A 21,340-nucleotide genomic window follows, 5' to 3' on the forward strand; every position below is an offset into this window, starting at 1 on the left:
GGGGGCAGGCAGTTCCTAGGGTGCCACGACACCAGCAGCACCTAAGATCTCCACTCATGCTCACTCAGTCCACACGACACGAGGGCCCAGCACACATCAGGCACCCAGAACAAGAACAGGTGGCTGCCCTCCAAGAGCTGATTTGCATGGGAGTGTGGGAGCGGGGGATAATTAATAATAAATATAATAAGGAAATCATATAGAAAGTGGAAATGGGAAGTGTTGGGGGGGCAGAATGCTGCAGATATCCTAAGGAGATGTGCCAGAGCCAGCCCAATGCCCATCCTTCCCTTGGCTACAGGCGGCACTTGTGACTTGAATCTGAGTAGAACTGGGCCGAGGGGGTGGCATGTCACCCACAATTAGGTTCTGTTCCACAGGACTCCATCTGGGGGTGGGGCTCTCCCACGGACCCTGGGGAAGCGGCCACCCTGTGAACCGCCCACCCTCCCACAGTAGGGACTGGCAGGCAGCCCCCGGGAGCTGAGAGCAGCTCCTGCCGGCCCTCAGTCCTACAGGCACCAGGACATGACTTCTGCCAGCAATCGCATGAGGTGGGAAGTGATCCTTCCCCAGTCCAGCCCCCAGATGAGAACACAGCGGCTGACCAGAGCTGAGGACCCAGCTAAGCCTGGCCTTCTGGCCCACAGAAGCCTTGAGATAATAGGCGGATGTCGTTTTAGGACACCCAATTTGCGGTACGTAGGGAACTAACACGCGGGGCTCTGGCGGGCCTGGCGGCTCAGTGCGATCTGGGCAGGCAGGAAGTGGAGTGAGCACAGCCAGCGGCTGGGAGCACATCCCGGAGGGGCTGCCTGCGGCGGGAGGAGCGGCAGGGGCCACGTGGTGGGGGACGGCTCGCCAGGGCGCGCACGCGGTGGCGGCGGCGGTGGAGGCGTTGCCCGCCTAGCTAGGGGCCCGCGGCCTGGAGAGGCGTCGGTTCTCCTTCCGCGCTGAAGGCGGAGACAGCGACTTCCCGTGGAGGCAAGCCGTGGGCGCCGCGGAGGCGGGGGCTGGGGGTCGGCGGAGGCGGGAGCTGGGGGTCGGCGGGGGCTGGGGGTTGGCGGGGAGCGTCCTCAGGGACAAGTCTCCCAGCACGCGGCCGCGACCTCCCCGTTGGGGGTCTGGAGCCAGGAGCCCACGCGCGTCGGATCCGGAGAGTCTGGTGGGCGCAGCCTACGTGACAGGGTCGGCTCGGGACCGAGCTGCTGGGGACTGGGCCTTGCGGGGCGGGGCCGCTGGGGGCGGGGCATGAGGGTGCCGGTTCGGGGCGGGGCTTTTTGGGGGCGGGACATGGGGCGGAGCCTGGGGGCGGAGCATGTGGGGAGGTGGCTGGGGAGGAACTTTCGGGGGCGGGACACGAGGGCGGAGCCTGAGGGGGCGGGGCATGAGGGGAAGCCGGCTCGGGAAGGAGCTTTCGGAGGCGGGGCCCGCTCGGGGAGGGACCTGATTTCGGGGGAGCCTTCGGGAGGGCGCCTGCCATAGACGACTGTAAAGGGGCGGGGTCAGCTCGGGGAGGACCCTGCGGGCGTGGCGGCAGTTATGGGTGAAGCCTGAGGGGGCGGGGCCTGATCGGGGCGGGGTCTTCGGGGGCGGAGTCGGCTGGGGATGGAGCCGCTCGGGCCGAGCCCTCCACCGCCCACCATCACCGAGTCCGGCCCAGGCTCCTAGCGCGGCCGCCGGAAGGGGCGGGTCAGCGGGCGGGCATTTCCTGCCGGTGCCTAGGGCCGACGGGGACGCTGGCACTGGTGGGGAGCTGTTGGGGGGTCCCGCATCTAGGGCTCTCCTTTCCTGCCTCCGGCCCCCGCGAGGGGCGCGCGCCTCTCCCCGCCCTCCAGCAGTCCTGGTAGGGCCCGGGCGCGTCCGCGCTCTGCAGCGGGAGGTCCTCGTCGCCTCTCGTCTCCAGCCAGGTACTCACTGGGCTCCTGCCTGCCGCCTCCGGCCCAGGACGCGCAGCGTCGGTATGGGCCCCGCCGCCTCCCCGCACCCCGGCGCTCCAGGGATGTGGCAAGACCCGGCTTTGAGCACCTCCCGGGCGCCGGCCCCGAGGCCGACCTAGCTCTGCACGTGGGCCGCGGGGCTCTGCCGTTGAAAGGAGAGCCTCTAACTAGGAGCACGCACGGGACCCTGGCGGGCCCCTCCGCCTGGCTCAGATGCCTGGCATCTCAGGCCTTGGCACAGCTAGCAGGCCCCTGGCAGGCCGTGGACCCAGCAGGCTGTTTTAGTGCAGATTGCCCCTGAATCTCAAGCCCACTAATGTTCCAGTCTCTCCATGAGACCCAGATCCCTGAAAGTAGTGGAGGGAGGCGCCAGGGTGAGTGAGGTTTTCTAGGCAGCCCTTACCGCCCACGGATACCCAGAGCTTCATATTACAAGTGAAGGGTCCTCCGCCCAGAGAGGCGACGGAGCTACGCTGGAGTTGCACGACAGAACCAGAACCCCAGTCTTTAGGGGTGTGGCAAGCGTGGGTTGCGCTGTTTGTAACTAGCTAATCACTCCTGTCTACAGGCCTGTGAGGTGAGGCCAAGAAAATCGCTATGGTCCAATCCGTTTTTGTTTTTTGCGTGTGGGGTTTTTTGTTTTGGTTTGGTTTGGTTTTTTTGTTTGAGACGGAGTCTTGTTCTGTCGCCAGGCAGGAGTGCACTGGCGCGACCTTTGCTCACTGCAACTTCTATCTCCTGGGTTCAGGCAATTCCCCTCCCTCAGCCTCCTGAGTAGCTAGGACTACAGGCACGTGCCACCACGCCCAGCTAATTTTTTGTGTTTTGGTAGGGACAGGGTTTCACCATGTTGGCCAGGATGGTCTCGATCTCCTGACCTCGTGATCCGCCCACCTCGGCCTCCCAAAGTGCTGGGATTACAGGCATGAGCCACCGCGCCCGGCCAGTCCACTCTGCTTTTAAGAAATATTTTATTTCTCAGGGTGGGCAGCGTGTAGAGAAGTGAGTCATTCCAGTCTCTGCCGGTTAGCACCTGCCAGCCTAAGTTGAGTCGACAGAGCCGTTATGGAGAATGTTCCCTGACCACAGTATGTGACTAGGATTTGGAGATAAAAAAGATACGATCCTCGCCTTCAGGAGACCCTGTCGCATAAGGAGACTGCCATGTCAGTGACCAGCCACACGTGCAGTGACAAGTGTCTGGAAGAAGGAACAGTGCTGTACAGCATGGAGGACCCCCACACAGGCCTCGGGCAGCAGCCGTTAGGCTCAGTGGGTTCACAAACCACCCCCCGCCCCGCCGTGGAGTGGAGTCTGCAGAGAGCCAGATAGGTTCCCGCCATGCCCTGGAGAGCTGCCGTTTCTCCAGCTCCGCCCTGCCCATGAGGCAAACAGCTGGTCGACTGGTCTTCTGTGCTGGTTCTTGGTTCTCACCTTTGTTTCCTACCAGAGCTGGACCCCGGCCTCAAACTCCAGCCAGCTTGGGCTGTGATCCTCTATCCTGGGCACCAGGGCCCACCCCCTGCCCACCCCAGCAGAGATGCTGCTTTATGCCTGCATCCTCCCTCAGCACACGTGGCCTTCATCTTCAGTTCTGGCGCCCACCTGATCTGCCTCCTCCCACACGCCACCTCTAGATAGAGCCCTAGAAAGTGATGTTGGCCTGAAACTGAGTCACATTCATCTAAACATTTTCCTGTAGAAAAGACCAGACCCTCCTTGTTGAGATAGGAAATCTGTAGTGAGTTTATGTGTTACCTGCACTCATGAGGGAGAGGAGGGAAGGCCACCAACCTCCTCTCAACAAAGAGAATTCAAAGTATTTATGTGTTGAGTTGTGTCACTTACGACATGCATATCAGCTCCACTTTCTACCTAGGGTCAACCCTGGCCTCAAACTCCAGCCTGGTTGACCAAGAACTAATACAAAGGGTACGGAATATTATTTCTTAGAATATGACTGGGCATGGTGGCTCCCACCTGTAGTCCCAGCTACTCAGGAAGCTGAGGTGGGAAGGATGTGACATGAGGGGTTCTGCTGGCTGCTGTGGTCCATGGCAGGGGGGCAGCCCTGGTTTCATGAACTCAGAACCCAGCCTCTGGGGGATGGAAGCACTCTCCACTGGGCACGTGTGGTCCCTGCAGCCTGTAGCTTCAAAGCACGGTGACTGGTTCCAAGCCCAGTATGGTGGAGAAGGAGACTACGGCAGGAACCAGGGGGATTCGGGGGTGGAGGAGGGAAGCCGCAGGGCAGTTGGTGGGTACATCAGATCCTGTGGACATGGTGTGCAGACCCGGAACCCCGGCAGAGGAGCAAGGATTCCTTGGTGAGCAACTGATCCCTTCATCGAGACAAGGAAAGGCCGGGAGAGAGTCAGGTGGGGCTCCGGGGAGATCAGCAATGCCGTTTGAGACACTCTTGGGGGAACACATGGGAAGGGAGGGGCCGCACCTGAATCCCACATCCCCTGAAAGGCAAACCTTTAATCTGAGGTTCATGTTCTTGCTTCTCCCCAGCACCAAGAGGATGGTGGCCCTTGGCCTCCTGGTGCAGAGCATCAGTCCCACGCTGGGAGTGTGGAGAGGTGCGTGGGAAGCAAGCCATTGAGGAAGTGGGGCCAACAGAGAGGTCAGCAGCCCCTTAGCCCTCACGCTTCCAAGGAACAGAATGATGGAGAAGCCTGCAGGCAGAAAAAAGAAGACGCCGACCCCAAGGGAGGAGGCAGACGTGCAGAAGAGTGCGCTCAGAGAGGAGAAGGTGTCCGGGGACAGAAAGCCACCTGAGAGGCCCACTGTGCCCAGGAAGCCCCGCACAGAGCCCTGCCTGAGTCCTGAAGACGAAGAGCACGTCTTTGATGCCTTCGACGCTTCATTTAAAGATGACTTTGAGGGGGTTCCCGTGTTCATTCCTTTTCAGAGGAAGAAACCCTATGAGTGCAGTGAGTGTGGGCGGATCTTTAAGCACAAGACAGACCACATTCGCCATCAGAGGGTCCACACTGGAGAGAAGCCCTTCAAGTGTGCGCAGTGCGGGAAGGCCTTCCGGCACAGCTCTGACGTCACCAAACACCAGAGGACTCACACGGGAGAGAAGCCCTTCAAATGCGGGGAGTGCGGGAAAGCCTTTAACTGCGGCTCCAATCTCCTGAAACATCAGAAGACGCACACCGGGGAGAAGCCCTACGAATGCACGCACTGTGGGAAAGCCTTTGCCTACAGCTCCTGTCTCATCCGCCATCAGAAACGCCACCCTCGGAAGAAGCCCTGAGCCGGGGCCATCTGCGGACTCGGGCCCTGCGGTGCGAGCCTCGCCGGACACCTGCTCCGTGGCTCCCTCGTGTCCCGCGTCTGATGGGGGCGCAGGGCCGTGCGCACTGTGTTCCGTGCCCTGGGGACCCCCGGAAAAGCAGCCCAGTCAGATGTGGGAACGTGCCAGCGAGGGAGAGACCTTTCCACTGCAGAGAGTCTCTCTGATCAAGACACCGCAGTGATGGAGAAGCCACCAGAGGCTCCTTGCAGCCACAGAGCATTTTCCAAGTTCCCGATGGCGAACGGGGCTCAGCACCAGAGACCAGGGAGTATTCACTGCCATCCATTGGACGTGTTTGGGTCACCTCAGAGCACCCAGCAGGAGAGGCTCCTGGTGTAGTGGGCAGCCCAGCACTTCCCGCTGCTGCCTGCCTGTGATGTCCACTCTGCTTAAGCCTTTCATCTGCCGCTGAAGGCCCCAGTCTGGACTCTCTGCCCTCTGGGTCCCCGAGCTCTGCAGCGAGCCCTGGGACCACTCATCCCTGCCCAGCCAGCTTCAGTGCCCGGGGCCGCTTGTCCCTGCCCGGCCTCTGTGCCCCAACTGTGCTTGGTCCTCTGGCTTCTCTCCTCCTGCTGGAGTGCCAGTCCCTGAGCTCAGACCCCCGTCCCCGGAACTGGGCCACACCACGTGCCCTCTTGGCCCAGCCTTCCTCCCAGAGAGGCGGCCTGACTTACCTGGATGGACTTGGGACAAAGGTTCCTCAGGACCTTGGACACCACCACCTGCTGAGCTTCCCGTCCCAGCCATGCAGTGGGGCCCCTGGGGTGCCCTCGGCAGCTTCGGTCCAGCCTGCATCTGCCCCTCGGCCTTCCGACGTGGGCGGTGGGCCCCAGCCCCACAGACCAGCCCAGCATTCAGGTTAGTTCTACTTCTTCATGCCTGTACCCAGTCCTGTCCCACCCAGTGGCAGGTCCACAGGCCTGTGCCACCCTTGTGTCCATCCAGGAGCAGTGTGGACGGGATCCTGTGCTCTCTAGGGACTGTGGTTTATAAGAGGGTAGCAAATGACTTTGTAAACCAGGAGGTAAGGTTTTTTATTGGGAAATGTTGGCGCCTATGTTTTCAGCTGTTTAGACGTGAAACACTAATCACGGCCCTAGTCTTTGGGGATTCTGTCCTGGAAGGAGGGTCCCGATTCGAGCTGGAGATGGCCTTGGCCTTGTCCATTGAGCAGTCTCAGAAATGGACTAGGGTACACTGCCCGGATGATGGAGAGCAGTCCTGTCTGGGTGGAAACGTTTACTGGGTTAACACATTTTTCCTGCCGCGGTCTTTCTGAGGGCTGTAATATTCCTGCCTGTCTGTGTAGGCCCCATACCAGCTTGGCCACTGTGGGGTCACTTGGAAAGGGAGCCTTTCGGCAGGCCTCCCCTCCCACTGGGAGGATGCTTCAGTCCCTCTGCACTCAGACGTGTTGGAAGCACATTCCACACGCAGAGTGTGTCTCTTCTCCCGGCTGCTCCTGCTGCTGGCCTGGACAGAGGAGCCTGTTCCATGGCAGGGGGTCCTGAGTGCTGCCACTTGTAGTATCGTGGGGAGGCTGCTCGGCTCCCAGCCTCTCTCATGCCCACTGCCCATGGGCTGCACTGACAGATGTGTCTCCTCACTTCCCCTTCCCCGCAGAAATAGAAATAGCCTAGAACTGGAAAATAAAACTCCCGTAAATCCCAGAACCACACTGTCACCCACACTAGCTTTGCCTCTGGCCTGGTTAACTTTCTATATAGCAGGTCCCAGAGCCCAGCCCGTCACCTGCTCACACTGGGTCCTGACCCGCAGGGCAGCATCTCCCAGATGGCTGTAGGGCTCTCTGAGGTCGGGTGACACTCAGTGCCTGGGCTGGCTGCGGACCCAGGCAGGCTGGTCCATGCGGAAGGCCCCACCCCGCCATGCCCCCATGGCATTGCTGGTGTGGCTGTGCTCGCCTGCGGGCCCTGCCTTTGTTTGGGTTGAGGCTGTGTTGGCCTTCATCAGACGTGTTGCCTGGGGGGGTTCTGCTCTCGGGACCACACACACTGGAGGGGCCTCCCCAGCGCAGGTGAGCAGGTGAACCACCAGAGGGGAGCCGTGGCGCCTGTGGCCTCCTGATGGTCCTGCCGCCTCAGTCGCTGCTGGAAGCACGGCCTTCGTGGCTTCTCAATGGCCCGTGGTCCCAATGGGGGTAGGTAGGTGGCAAGTCCCGTGGTGTCGTGTACCTGCCTCTGTGATGACTGTGTCTCACACTATTGGGCGTGTGCTGGGGAGGCCAGTCTTCCCGTGGGGCTCCCCGGGGCTGTGGTCAGCCCACTGCCGTCAGCATGGGGGTGAGGGGGTGAGGGAGCGAGGGGGCGGGCAGCCTCAGCCTCACCTAGATAGACTGTCCCTGGATGCCGCCGGCGGACCACGGCCAGTGTTGACCCCCACAGGGCAGGACATCCTGGTGGGCCCCCTGGCCCGGATCTCCTTATGCAGCCGTTCCCGGTATGTCCTGAGGCTGGACGGCCTCAGCCAGCTGTCACCAGGAGAGGAATACTCGCACTCCCAGAAATGGACATATCAGGAGGTGAATTGTTCAGAAGCAGGCATCAGAGCACGTGTGACGTGTGATCCTGGATCGGAAGAGTTGCTTTGAAGGACTTTGCTGGGACGTTTGGCCGACCTGGATTGTAGACTCCAGGCACAGTCAACTGCAGGCACAGTCAACTGCAGGCACAGTCAGCACCAGCGCAGCAGGGACGGGGCGGTCCTCACTGACGTCCTCCTACTGCAGATGCACACTGAGGCTCTTGGCCGCAGAGCGTGGCGTCTGCAGTTCATGCCAACGGTGTGTGCACGTCCCCGGAGAGTGACAGAGGAGAGTGGCTAAATGTCAGTCATGGGGAATCTAGAGCACAGGTGGGCACGCTTCTCCGATGAAGGGTCAGGCAGGAAATATTCTTGGCACTGCAGCCATACAGCCTGTGCCTCAGCACCCACGGGGGACCACAGAAGGTTGGGGACCACTGCTTTAAACAACTAGCTCTCCCGTGAAGAGCAGGTCCCCACCCTGCTGTGTAGGGCAACAGCAGATGTCAATGGCATATGAATGAACGAGCGTGGCTGTGCCAATAAAACTTTATTTACAAACGTAGGAGGTGGGCCGGATTTGCTTGCCGATCCTGTCCTAGGTGAAGGGTGCATTCGAGCTCCTGGTATAGTTTGGACGTCTGTCCCCTCCAGATCTTATGTGGAAATGTGATCCCCAGTGTGGGAAGGGGCCTGGCAGGAGGTATTCGGGTCACGGGGACAGATCCCTCGAGAATGGCTTGGTGCCCTCCTCACAGTAATGAGTGAGCTCTCACTCTTGAGGTTCACTGGAGAGCTTGTTGTTTAAAGCAGTGGTCCCCAACCTTCTTGGCACCTGGGACCAGTTTTTTCCGTGGACAGGGAGTGGTGTGGATGGTTTGAGTATGAAACTGTCCCACCTCAGATCATCAGGCATTTGATTCTCATAAGGAGCGTGCAACCTAGATCCCTCGCATGCAGTTCACGGTGGGGTTCGTGGTCCAGTGAGAATCTAATGCCACCGCTGATCTGACAGGAGGCGGAGCTTAGGCGGTAACGCTCACTCGCCTGCCACCCACCTCCTGCTGTGTGACCCACTTCTAACAGGCCATGGACCCGTCTTGAGGTCAGGGACTCCTGCATTAAAGAGCCTGGTGCCTCCTCCCGTCTCTTGCTCCCTCCCTGCAGCCTCACCAGAAGCCAAGCAGATACCTGTGCAGCCTGCAGAACCGCCAGCCACGTAAACCTCGTTACAAAAACTTACCCAGCCTCGGGTGTTCCTTTATAGTAACACACAATGAACTAACACAACTCCCAGTCCTTGCACACGCTCTCTGTGTCTTAGTGTCCTTCAGAATTAGCTGTTGGCAGGGAAGAGCCGGCGTCAGGAGTCAGGAACTCGGACACAAGAAAGAAACCAGGGGGCGGGACAGGGAGCTGCTCAGAGCAGGCATCCTCTGCTGTCTGTCGGGATGTGCCACAGAGGGTGGCAAGTGTGGACACGGCTGTCTAGGATGGCCCAGGAGACGGGCACGCATTCCCTGGTGGTGTCTGCATTTGGTTTGATTTTACTTATGATAGTATGATCGTTGCTTTTCCCCGTTACTGACAATAGGGAGCGTTACTTTTTTTTTTTTTTTTTTTTTGAGACAGAGTCTCATTCTGTTGCCAGGCTGGAGTGCAGTGGCACGATCTCAGCTCACCACAACCTCCACCTCCCGCGGTCAAGCGATTCCCCTGCTTCAGCATCCCGAGTAGCTGGGATTTCAGGCACGCACCACCACGCCCAGCTAATTTTTGTATTTTTAGTAGAGACGGGGTTTCACCATGTTGGCCAGGAAGGAAGCATTACTTTTAATGCCTGCACAATGACCAGTTGAATCGAAAAGGCACAGGTGACTTATCCACTTCCCAGCATGGGCATGTGGGCTGTTTCCAACCTAGGTTATTATAAATAATGCCACAATAAATATCTTTTCCATATTTAGGGCCAATAGGACGGATTCCCAGGTGTGGATTGACATCTCACCAAATGCCAGCCCCAGGTCATGCCCACAGAGACGCCTGCAGCAGCGCATGGCTGGCAGGACCACCTCAGCCTCTCTAGCAGCAGGCAGGTGGGTTCCTGATCCTAAACTCACACTTTAATCTGATGTCTTTGATTTCTAGGACGCACGTAGTGGGTCAAGAGCATAGCTCTCAAGTCAGGGGCTGTGGACTTGACCCTCACTCTGGAACTGTGGGGCCTTTGCCTCAGTTTTCCCAGGTGTGAAATGGCGATGCTGACAGTGCTTAACCCCACAGGGTTGCCAAGAACAAGAACCGTAATACGTGACGTCGTAAGCACACTGCTGGATCCTACGAACTGTGTGACCGTGTCAGCTCGCCCCGTGTCTGGTGTTAGTGAGATCAGAGCTCGCCCCGCGTGCTGGTGTTCTTGAGATCAGGGCTCACCCCGCGTCTAGTGTTAGTGAGATCAGAGCTCACCCCGCGTGCTGGTGTTAGTGAGATCAGGGCTCGCCCCACGTGCTGGAGTTAGTGAGATCAGGGCTCGCCCCGCGTGCTGGTGTTCTTGAGATCAGGGCTCGCCCCGCGTCTAGTGTTAGTGAGATCAGAGCTCACCCCGCGTGCTGGTGTTAGTGAGATCAGGGCTCGCCCCACGTGCTGGAGTTAGTGAGATCAGGGCTCGCCCCGCGTGCTGGTGTTAGTGAGATCACGGCTCACCCCGCGTGCTGGTGTTAGTGAGATCAGGGCTCTCCCCGCGTGCTAGAGTTAGTGAGATCAGGGCTCGCCCCGCGTGCTGGTGTTAGTGAGATCAGGGCTCGCCCCGCGTGCTGGTGTTCTTGAGATCAGGGCTCGCCCCGCGTGCTGGTGTTAGTGAGATCAGGGCTCGCCCCGCGTGCTGGTGTTAGTGAGATCACGGCTCGCCCCGCGTGCTGGTGTTAGTGAGATCAGGGCTCTCCCCGCGTGCTAGAGTTAGTGAGATCAGGGCTCGCCCCGCGTGCTGGTGTTAGTGAGATCAGGGCTCACCCCGCGTGCTGGTGTTCTTGAGATCAGGGCTCACCCCGCGTGCTGGTGTTAGTGAGATCAGGGCTCGCCCCGCGTGCTGGTGTTAGTGAGATCACGGCTCGCCCCGCGTGCTGGTGTTAGTGAGATCAGGGCTCGCCCCGCGTGCTGGTGTTAGTGAGATCAGGGCTCGCCCCGCGTGCTGGAGTTAGTGAGATCAGGGCTCGCCCCGCGTGCTGGTGTTAGTGAGATCACGGCTCGCCCCGCGTGCTGGTGTTAGTGAGATCAGGGCTCGCCCCGCGTGCTGGTGTTAGTGAGATCAGGGCTCACCCCGCGTGCTGGAGTTAGTGAGATCAGGGCTCGCCCCGCGTGCTGGAGTTAGTGAGATCAGGGCTCGCCCCGCGTGCTGGTGTTAGTGAGATCAGGGCTCGCCCCACATGCTGGTGTTAGTGAGATCAGATATTGGTTCACACACGAAATGGGGGCCATGCAAACTGACTGCCTTGGATACTTCTCCAAGGAAAAGATGAGAGAGCTGGCTTCAACAAAATCGGCATGGAAAACAACAAAAGATACATTTTTGGGGCCAGATGTGGTGACTCACATCTGTAATCCCAGTGCTTTGGAAGGCCGAGGCAGGAGGATCACTTGAGGCCAGGAGTTCAAGACCTGCTTGGATGACAGAGCAAGACCCTGTCTCAAAAATAAAAGATACATTTTTTTAAATCCACTTGGAAATTTTTTTTAACGTTTATGGTTATGAGAAAAATTGCATAACCAAAACAAAACCAGTCTGCCATCTTTTTTGTCCCTATCATTTGGCACAGACAGACGAACTCCTGACGTCACAGCAGGACCAAGAGCTGAAGCCGGAGGCACAGACAGATGAATTCCTGATGTCATAGCAAGACCAAGAGCTGAAGCCGGAGGCCGTCTAGGCTGACCTCTGCTTCGGTGTCTTGTTTAAAAGAAGCTCTTATTGCAGGAAGAGAAAACCTACATGACCCAGGTGAAAGATAAGACACTTAAAATTCAGTGATCATATGACTTAACAGAGCACCTGATGGCAGTGGGAGCCAAGGGCAGTATCCAACCCTGTGTGCTTCTGTTGCTGTTAGGAGAGGAGCTGGAAGTCAGGAGAGGAGCTGGAAGTCAGGAGGGAAGCACCCAGTGTAACAGTTAGAAGAAGAAAGGCCCAGGCCAGGCACGGTGGCTCACGCCTATAATCCCAGCACTTTGGGAGGCCAAGGCAGGCAGATCACCTGAGGACAGGAGTTCAAGACAAGTCATGGCTAACATGGTGAAACCCCATTTCTACTAAAAATACAGAAGAAAATTAGCTGGGTGTGGTGGCGCATGCCTGTATTCCTAGCTACTTGGGAGGCTGAGGCAGGAGAATTGCTTGAACCCAGGAGGCGGAGGTTGCAGTGAGCCAAGATCACGCCATTGCACTCCAGCTCAGGCAATAAAAGTGAAACTCTGTCTCAAAAAAATAAATACATAAATAAGTAAATAAAGCCACTTATTAATACAATTAATGGAAACAGACACCATTGAGAGGACAAAAGAGCTAAGAGTTGGTTCTTTGAAAGGACTATTAAAATTGACATCCTCTGGCAAAATGACTAAGAAAAAAGGAGCAAATCACCCATCAGGAATGAGAAAGGAAGACAGTTCAGCCACATCCGATGCTGAAAAGGTGAGAAAAGCCTGTGCTGACAAAGAGAACTCCACCAAAACGGTTCGACCATCAGGAGGAAAGTCACGTGGCAGCCCAGCTCGAGGAGACACGCACACAGAATCCATCGCCATGACAGAGATTGTGTGGATGATTCTCAGTCTTGCCAAAGAACACCAAGTCCAGGTGCTTTGCACGTGAGTTCAAGAAACAGCTCCAGTTTTACCCAGACTCGGAGACAGACAAGAAACACACCCTGTGTTATTTTCTGAAGTGAGTGTAATCTGGATATCAAAATTACAGTTCAGTGTCACTCATACACATATACATGAACAAAGGTACTAAGCACTTGCAGGCCAGGCACGGTGGCTCATTCCTGTCATCCCAGCACATTGGGAGACTGAGGTGGGAGGATCGATTGAGCTCAGGAGTTTGAGACCAGCCTGGGCAACAGAGTGAGATTTCATTTCTAATAAAAATTAAAAATTAGGTATGGTGGCGTGCGCCTGTGGTCCCATATACTCGGGAGGCTAAGGTAGGAGGATCAGTTGAGCCCAGGAGGTTGACACTTCAGTGAACTGGGATTGTATCACTGCATTCTGTTCTGCAGACGTGAGCAGGAGTGATGGACGCCTCTTCCAGGCCTGGCCTCCTGAAATCTTCCCTGTAATCATCTGCTGTCCTCCCTTCCTGTGACTGAGAGAGAAGGACTCAGAGATGGCAGAGCCACACACCAAGAGAAGGAGCCATGTCCTGGAGTCACCCTCGGGAGAGCCTCAAGACCCTGTCATGGTGTGAGCAAGAAGGGGAGGCCTCCTGAGCCAGACGCTGACATGCGGAGGTTCTTCGTTATCCCAGCCACCGTTACTTACCCTGACCACTGTAGCAACAAATGACAAATGTTCAGAATATGTGCAGCATTCATAGGAACCAGGATTTTTAAAGACAAATATCTAAATAGAAAAATGGCCAAAACAGGAGTTCAAGACCAGCCTGAACAACGCAGCGAGACCCCATCTCTAGAAAAAAGAAAAATGGGCAAAAGTCGCAGAAGAAAAAAACATCCATGGCTCGTAAATACCTGAAAACATGCTCAATCTCTTTAAAAATCAGAGAACACAAGTTAAAACAACAGATCCAATTCTGTGCCCCACAGCGTGGTAAAGATGGCCAGGTCGGATTCGGATCCTTGCATGGGACGGGCGGGGGTCCTCATCTCCTGCTGCGGCACCAGGCAGCAGCACAGTCTGGAGAGCAGCCTGGCGTTTTCTGGCAAAGGCGAAGATGTGCGTTCCTGCTGACCCAGGAGCCGCCTGTTGACTTCCCCTTGAGAAACGTGTGTGCACGCAGCCAGAGACACAACAACGTTCATGGCATGCACTGTCAGGAAAGCCGGAAAGAACCCAAATGCCTGTCGGTAGCGAAGCGGGTAAATCATGGTCTGTTGGTCAAGGGAAGCTGTTGGCACAGTGGCCACGCAGCTAGCCAGGACCCACGTCAACCCCTACGTGACAGACACACACTGAGCAGAGAATGTAAGGCACAGAAGACACACGGCGTGATTTTAACCACCGCAAAGTTCGAAACCAAGCAAAACTACACAGTGTGGTGGTTGGGGACACATGTGGTCCAACTGCAGAGAAAGGCAAAGGCATGGTTCACACTCAGGAGAGACGGGCCGGCACAGGGCACGGGCCCCTGGGTGGTATCTCGCGCTTAAACCGGATGGAGGGTGAGTGAGCATTTGCTCTAGCGCGGTTAAAGGATCATGTCATGTACACTCAGCTTACACATCTGACACCCTCCCACCTTCCTTAACGTTTTTAGAAAACAGGGAGCACTTCCTCATGAACCTGGTGCCATCCAGCCCTGGGGTGCACGGGTTAACGCCCACTTCCACGCCCCCCACTGATCTTGAGGCCCCCCCGCCCCCAACCCTGGCCTCCGTTGCCCACAGGTGCCTGTTTCCACTCAACCCAAATTTAAGCCATCTTCTTGCTTTCAGAGTGTGGTCTTTACCAACAGAGGAACCGGGTAATCACCGCACTTCTCATGTATTCAGAAGATATTTCTCATCCTTTTCAGGCTGGTAGAGCAGATCACCCCCAAAGCAAGAAGTTCCAGATGAAATATGCATAAGAAGCAGCCTCAAAACTAACAAAAAAGATTCGCACATTCCTCAGTTAGAGGAGGAGCAGAGATGAAGAAAAGGAGAAGAAAAGCGCTGGAAAGAGAAGAAAAGGAACCTCCTTCTGTGCAGCAGGCTCCTGGCCCAGGGAGTGCGGTGTGCGGCAGAGTGCGTGCAGGGAAGCAGCCTCTGAAATCGTGCAGGGAAGCACCCTGTGAAATCGTGCAGGGAAGCACCCTGTGAAATCGTGCAGGGAAGCACCCTGTGAAGTCGTGCAGGGAAGCACCCTCTGAAATCGTGCAGGGAAGCACCCTCTGAAATCGTGCAGGGAAGCACCCTGTGAAGTCGTGCAGGGAAGCACCTTCTGAAATCGTGCAGGGAAGCACCCTCTGAAATCGTGCAGGGAAGCACCCTCTGAAATGCCTAGAAATAGCTGCCGGGCTTTCACTTGGTTCCCAAATTTCTTCAAAGGTCAAAACCATCACAGTGGGCAACTTTACACCCCAGTGTTCACTGTCCTCAGGCCACTGCAGAGCCATCCTAGTGGGGCAGTGGGCGCGGGGCGGGGGCTCCTGACTCCGGTGAGGTCACCCTGGAGGGGAGTCCCAGGAATCAGCCTGATGTTCAGAATGCCTTCCTGGCATCTCAGAAGTGTACTGGGGGAGACGTGAGGACCTTTCAGCCAAGTGTCAGCGTTCTTATTGCAGGAGAACATTAAAGCCACAACCCAGAAACTTCTCAGGAGCATGGCGCACCCACACCAGCCCCGGGCTCCGCCTGGACAGCACCTCCTGGGCCGCCCTGACCAGCAGACACCATCCTTCCAGCCTCTCTTGGCCACCCGGACCAGCGGGCACCACCCTCCCAGCCTCACGCGGCCACCCTGACCAGCAGGCACCATCCTTCCAGCCTTGCTCAGTCACCCTGACCCAGAGGGCTGCCCTGACCAGCGGGCACCATCCTCCCAGCCCCACTCAGCTGCCCTGACCAGCGGGCACCATCCTCCCAGCCTCACTCGGCCAGCCGAGCTCTGTAGGCCTCAGAGTGCAGAGAACCTCAAATGTTGTGACTTTGCTCTGCTGCAGGGACCTGCCATGGAGTGTCCCTTGTGCGAGCATTTTGAGAGCTATGCCAGCATCCATCCCTGCAGGTCCCATCCCTGAGCCATTTCTCAGGAGAGCAGGAAGGGAGCAGGGAGAGGGGTGCTCCCAGCCAGCCCCGGAACCAGAGGTCTGGGGACGCAGCCGACCAGCCCTCCTTGTCTGGGCCTCTGTTTCCTCTTCGACACAGGGAAGCAGGGAGGGGCCGATCAGCGACTTAGGCCTGTTGGCTGTGGTGGGGTCCACCTGCGTTTCTGGGGAGCCCACGGACCCTGGGGTGTACCTGGGTTTCATTCCCAGTGACCTCTCCTATTGGTCCCCATTTGGGGCGCTGAGATGTGATCGTTTCTTTCCTGAGAATGAGCTGAGGTAAAAACATGCTGGGGAGGAAGATGGGCCCTGGGGGCAGCGAGCTGCGCCTCTGCACCGGGAGAAAGGCCGTGTCCCCAGAGCTGAGGCGGTGGTGGGCAGGGCTCCTGAGAAGCCGGGGCAGGGCAGGGTGTCTCTGAGGTCAATGAGGAACAGCTGAGGTCCAGGGACGCAGGAAGGATGGGGTGAACTCCGGGATGGGGCCGGCAGGGAGCCTCACGCTTACAGAGCCTGGTGTTGGCACTCTCCTGGCTTCCTCCGCAAACCTAGCCACGTGGTCAGGGAGCCCGGGCCTAGCAGACGGCCCCCACCTTGACAGAATCCCCAGGGTCGTGCGTGGCGGTGGGGGCGACTTCACAGCCGAGACCGGGCCTAACGCTGCTGTCTCGCAGTCACCCCTGCAGGCCGCTCAGGGCAGGGCTCTGGCCTGACGGGGGTTCCTGGACACGCCTCTGAGCCGGCAGCCCCTACCCGCACCCGTGCACCTTCCACGCCCGTCTCCAGCAGCCCCTGCCCCCACCCGCACCCCTGCACCTGCCACGCCTGTCTCCGGCAGCCCCTGCCCGCACCCGCACCCCTGCACCTGCCACGCCCGTCTCCGGCAGCACCTGCCACGCCCGTCTCCGGCAGCACCTGCCACGCCCGTCTCCGGCAGCACCTGCCACGCCCGTCTCCGGCAGCCCCTGCCCGCACCCGCACCCCTGCACCTGCCACGCCCGTCTCCGGCAGCCCCTGCCTGCACCCGCACCCCTCACGGCTGTCTCCGGCAGCCCCTGCCCGCGCCCGCACCTCTGCACCTCCCACGCCCCTCTCCGGCAGCCCCTGCCCACACCCGCACCCCTGCACCTCCCACGCCCGTCTTGCCCTGGGGCCCAGGTGCAGGTCTGTGAGGAGGGCAGCCCCGTGCTCCCGTGGCCACCGCTCAGCCAAATGGATTCAGCGAGGGTTTTTAGTGTTTGTGCCTGTGTCCCCGTGTGCCTGTTTCCTGGTGAGGCTGGATGCCTGGCATGTCTGAACACTCACATTCCCCAGGCATGCATGTGCAGCCGCCGCCGCCACCCATGTACTGTGGCGCTGACCCCTCCTGTAACAGCTGTGGTCTTGGCCTCTCGTGTTGGTGGCAGATGTCCCATTTCCCAGTTACTTTCTGTTGTCCAAAAGTTTAACTGTCCTGCCAGCCAAAGCTGCTGAGCATTACTCTGATAGACCATCAGTCCTTGGTAAGTGTCCTGTGCATCTGGGATAAGCATCCGTTTGTTTTCAGCTGCGCTTTCTGTGACTTGCTCTGCGTGAGTCCTCGGTCCACGTGGGCCGTTGCGCTGGTTCCCAGCCTGCCCGACACACTCACTGCGACGCCTCCCTTGCCTACTGCTTGCTGGCTTCTGTGTTCTCTGCAGTAAACATTGATTTCTGACTCGAGTGCTGTCTTCATTGAGCTCTCTGCACTCTGGGGATGCAGTCAGCGACCCCACGAAGGCTACCGGCTTCCTCCCAGGGAACAGTGCAGGTGCTGCTTCCCAGGACCACAGGACCCTGGCTGGTCGCTGCCTGTGATGGGTCTCCACAAGACCACTCCCCATTAGCCAGACTCACAGGAGACTGACACATAAATGAGAAAGTTGTTCACTAACTCACAATGGGAGCAACCCTTTGCAGTGCGGAAATGCTCTCAGCCTTTCTGGCCCCGGATACCTGGGAAGCTAAGGGTTCATTAGGTGGCCTAGTGCCTGCACTCAGGATGCCCCAGAGGAGGCCCCGGGGTTCCTGAACGCCTTCTTCAGGCCCTGTCTTCAGCCCTTCTCCAGGCCCTCTGAGTTCCAAACAGCACTCACTTTTGTCTGGTCCTCTGTTCCCCGGCTCGCACCTCCTTCGTCAGGGCAGTTGCTCTCAACCAGGGGTACTTCTGCCCCTGGGGCCCACTCGGCAATGTCCGGGACCGTGTTGGCGGTCACAGCTGGGCGGGGGCACCACCGGAATCTGGTGTGCAGAGGCGGGGGTCCTGCCCAGATGCCAGAGGTGCTGCAGGTGAGAGATACAGATTTAGACCCTGTGACGACAAAGAAAAGGACGGGAAAGGTGGCTCTCAAGGCCCCAGGGAACCGCCCAGAGACGCCTGGGGTTCCAGAAGCTGGAAAGGCATGGAGCGGTGCGGGAACAAGCCTCTGCGGTGGCTGGAGATGTGGGGATGGAGACTGGTCATGCCTTCACACACTTAACCAGAACCCTCCCAGCTCTCCCTCCCCTGCAACCAAGCCAGCAAGGCGACACGGTGGCTGGCGCTGGCGAGAGGCAAGTGTGCTTGACTGCCTTTCTCCACTCTTGAGGACAACACCCAGAGTGGCCCCGTCTTTGCCCCACCAGCCCAGGCCTAAAGCTTCCTCATCATCCGCATCCCGGCCTGGGACTTAGGCGGACTTCTGCCAGCTGTGTCACGTGCAGGGGACTGCAGCCACTGACCCCCTCTCCCTTCTGTCCTGCTCTTCTCTACCCCACAGCCCCAGGCAGATCTTCAGTGCATGTCAGCTCTCCTCCCTCCCTCCCTGCAGACCCCTGTGCCCCGCAGTGCCCTGAGAATGACGTCTGAGCCCCCAGTGGAGGTGTCAAGGCTGTTCGGTCTGTCCCCATCCCGTTCTGTCCTCCCCTTGCTCACCACACTCCCCTGCCTGGTCTTCCAAACTCGAACCCCAGGCAACTCCTTCAGGCATCAGACCTCTGCCCCTGCGCCCCTCCTGCCTCTCTGTGATGGGCTGGCCCTTCCCTTCTGCTGCCTCCCCTCCCTCCTTCCTGCTCCAACCCCTATCTCTCTCTGATGCTGCCCCTTAGAGAAGCCTTCTTGGACCTTAAGCCTGGCCACTCCTCTAAGCCCCTCATCTCCAGGTGTGGTCTAGGAAGTGCTCTCAGCCTCTCTACTCCAGTGGCTCGGGGTCTCTGACCAGCCCTCCTGCCAGGGAAGCTTTGAAGGTTCCCACAGGGACCCCTAGAGACAAGGGCACTGCCCGTCCAGATGGCACCCTCACCCCAACCCCAGCAGCACTGGCTGGAGCAGGCCATGCCTGTGTGGGTATCTGAACAGGCACTGGATTCCCCGATCTCAACAAAAGAAGCCCATGGAGGCCTTTTCTAATCCACAGTCCAAGAGGACAAATCAAGACAACAGGCTGGGGGGGCTGGCTGTGGGCCGACTCCCACGTCTTAGGACCAGGGGCTCTGGGGCTGTTTGGGCTGGAACCCCTCCTCCCAGCATAACAAACACTAGCTCATTATTTACAGTGAATACCCAACAAAACCCTGCTCGAGGTGAGGAGCGGGGACCTGCTGCTCCAACAGACCAGACTGGCTGCTGGCTCCGAGCTCATTAAATCAGCAACCTTTGCACTCCCTCCAAAGCCCTGCCCGTCACCTTCACACCTCCCTGGTGGGGGAAGGGGATTCTTCCACTCTGATTACACCCGTTCCCATCTCCCTTCACTCCTGTGAGCTGGCCAGGCTGAGGATTTGTCCAAAGGGCCTGGGGAGTGAGACGCTCCACAGCTTCTCATGGGTCAGCCGACATGGACGGTAGCTTGGGTGACTCAGCTTCCCGTGATGCGCTGGATGCACAGGGAGCTGGTGACAACAGCCTGTGTGTGTGACAGAACAGCCTGTGCGTGTGACAGGACGTCAAGAACTACATACAAAGACACAGCTGCCCCCAAAAATGAGTCTGCACAGCCTGGTGCAATGCAGCTGCAGCCTGTCATCGAGTCAATTGCATTGTCGTCCGCCGCTCTCCTGATGTAGTTCTGTGTTTGTCCATTTTGCACTGCTATAAAGGAATACCTGAGACTGGGTAAGTTGGTGAGCGCCTGTAGTCCCAGCTACTCAGGACGGTGAGGCAGGAGAATAGCATGAATCCGGGAGGCGGAGCTTGCAGTGAGCCAAGATCGCGCCACTGCACTCCAGCCTGGGCCACAGAGCGAGACTCCGTCTCAAAAAAAAAAAAAAGAAAAGAAAAAAGAGGAGCTGGGCGCAGTGGCTCACGCCTGTAATCCCAGCACTTTGGGAAGCTGAGGCGGGTGGATCACCTGAGGTCAGGAGTTCAAGACCAGCCTGGCCAACATGGCAAAACCCCGTCTCTACTAAAAATACAAAATTATCCGGGCATGGTGGCGCATGCCTGTGATCCCAGCTACTTGGGAGGCTGAGGCAGGAGAATCACTTAAACCTGGGAGGCGGAGATTGCAGTGAGCCGAGATCGCACCAATTGCACTCCAGCCTGGGCAACAAGAGCGGCAACTCCATCTCAAAAGTAAATAAAGAACAAAAGGGGTTTGCTTGGCTCACAGTTCAGATCAGCGTTCAGAGGGTGCTGCTGTCCCTGGTCATACTGTACAAGAAGAGGCTTCTGGGGAGGGCTCAGGAAGCTTTTACTCACAGCAGAAGGCAAAGTGGGAGCCAGGGCATCCGTCACTTGGTAAGAGCCAGAGCAAGAGAGGGGCGGAGGCGCCAGGCTCTTTTTAACAGCCAGCTCTCACTCATCACCAAGGAGAGGGCACCAAGCTACTCATGACCCAAATAGCCTCCCACCAGGTCCCACCGCCACCATCAGGGGCCACATTTCCATGAGATGTGCAGGGGGCTCACTTCCAAACAGTATCAGATATAGTACTAGTTCCTTTTTTTTTTTTTTTTTTTTGAGACAGAGTCTCATTCTGTTGCCCAGGCTGGAGTGAAGTGGCGCGATCTCGGCGCAATGCAACCTCCGCCTCCCGGTTCAAGTGATTCTCCTGCCTCAGCCTCCCAAGTAGCTGGGATTACAGGTGCCCGCCACCGTGTCCGGGTAGCTTTTTTATATTTTTAGTAGAGATGGGGTTTCTCCCTGTTGGTCAGGCTGGTCTCAAACTCCCCACCTCTGGTGATCCACCCACTTCAGTGTCCCAAAGTGCTGGGATTACAGGCGTGAGCCACTGCGCCCGGCGCTACTTATAACTTTTTAAGAAACTACCAAGCCAATTTCTAGAATGGCAGCACCACTTTGCCTTACCACTGGCGATGTCCCAAGCTGCTCCGCGACCTCAGTGATGCTTGGCACTTGTTAGCAGTTTTTACCTGAGCCACCTGGCAAGTGTGCAGTGGCACCCACCGCGATGCTGGCCGGCCCTTCCCTGACAGCCATCCCTTCCCGAGCCTATTGCCATCCCTGTGCCCTCTTCGGTCAAACGTCTGTTGCGGCTCTTGCCAATTTTCTAACTGGAATGTTTGTTTTCTTGCGGTAGAGTTTAGAGATTTTTACATATTATCAGCCTG

General features: G+C 57.8%; 1 protein-coding gene across 2 annotated transcripts, besides 4 other annotated features; it reads left to right on the plus strand.

Annotated features, from left to right (window-relative positions):
- Positions 802 to 961: a silencer, noted in NCBI's record as "silent region_19610". NCBI's record gives its function as "represses an Ori minimal core promoter by ATAC-STARR-seq in GM12878 lymphoblastoid cells {active_cell/tissue: GM12878}" and the evidence as "EXISTENCE:reporter gene assay evidence [ECO:0000049][PMID:35858748]".
- Positions 1,162 to 2,051: a silencer, noted in NCBI's record as "silent region_19611". NCBI's record gives its function as "represses an Ori minimal core promoter by ATAC-STARR-seq in GM12878 lymphoblastoid cells {active_cell/tissue: GM12878}" and the evidence as "EXISTENCE:reporter gene assay evidence [ECO:0000049][PMID:35858748]".
- On the plus strand, positions 1,707 to 17,473 carry ZFP41 (ZFP41 zinc finger protein). Of its 2 annotated transcripts, none has more exons than NM_173832.6 (3): positions 1,707 to 1,910; positions 4,458 to 6,108; positions 14,543 to 17,473. In NM_173832.6, the coding sequence occupies exon 2, from the start codon at positions 4,612 to 4,614 to the stop codon at positions 5,206 to 5,208; it is 597 nt and encodes a 198-aa protein (NP_776193.3). In that variant the 5' UTR covers positions 1,707 to 1,910; positions 4,458 to 4,611; the 3' UTR covers positions 5,209 to 6,108; positions 14,543 to 17,473. The 2 variants fall into 2 exon arrangements, with proteins under 2 accessions (NP_776193.3, NP_001258085.3); NM_001271156.3 differs by lacking the exon at positions 14,543 to 17,473 and adding an exon at positions 7,656 to 8,359 and having other exon boundaries at positions 1,707 to 2,517.
- Positions 2,092 to 2,141: a silencer, noted in NCBI's record as "silent region_19612". NCBI's record gives its function as "represses an Ori minimal core promoter by ATAC-STARR-seq in GM12878 lymphoblastoid cells {active_cell/tissue: GM12878}" and the evidence as "EXISTENCE:reporter gene assay evidence [ECO:0000049][PMID:35858748]".
- Positions 5,452 to 5,952: an enhancer, noted in NCBI's record as "H3K4me1 hESC enhancer chr8:144332854-144333354 (GRCh37/hg19 assembly coordinates)". NCBI's record gives its function as "activates a minimal SCP1, AML or CMV promoter by ChIP-STARR-seq in naive H9 embryonic stem cells {active_cell/tissue: H9 hESC(naive)}" and the evidence as "EXISTENCE:reporter gene assay evidence [ECO:0000049][PMID:30033119]".
- Positions 17,474 to 21,340: the final 3,867 nt, after the last annotated feature.

The sequence above is a fragment of the Homo sapiens genome, chromosome 8 (genome assembly GCF_000001405.40).
Source record: "Homo sapiens chromosome 8, GRCh38.p14 Primary Assembly".
NCBI lineage: Eukaryota > Metazoa > Chordata > Mammalia > Primates > Hominidae > Homo > Homo sapiens.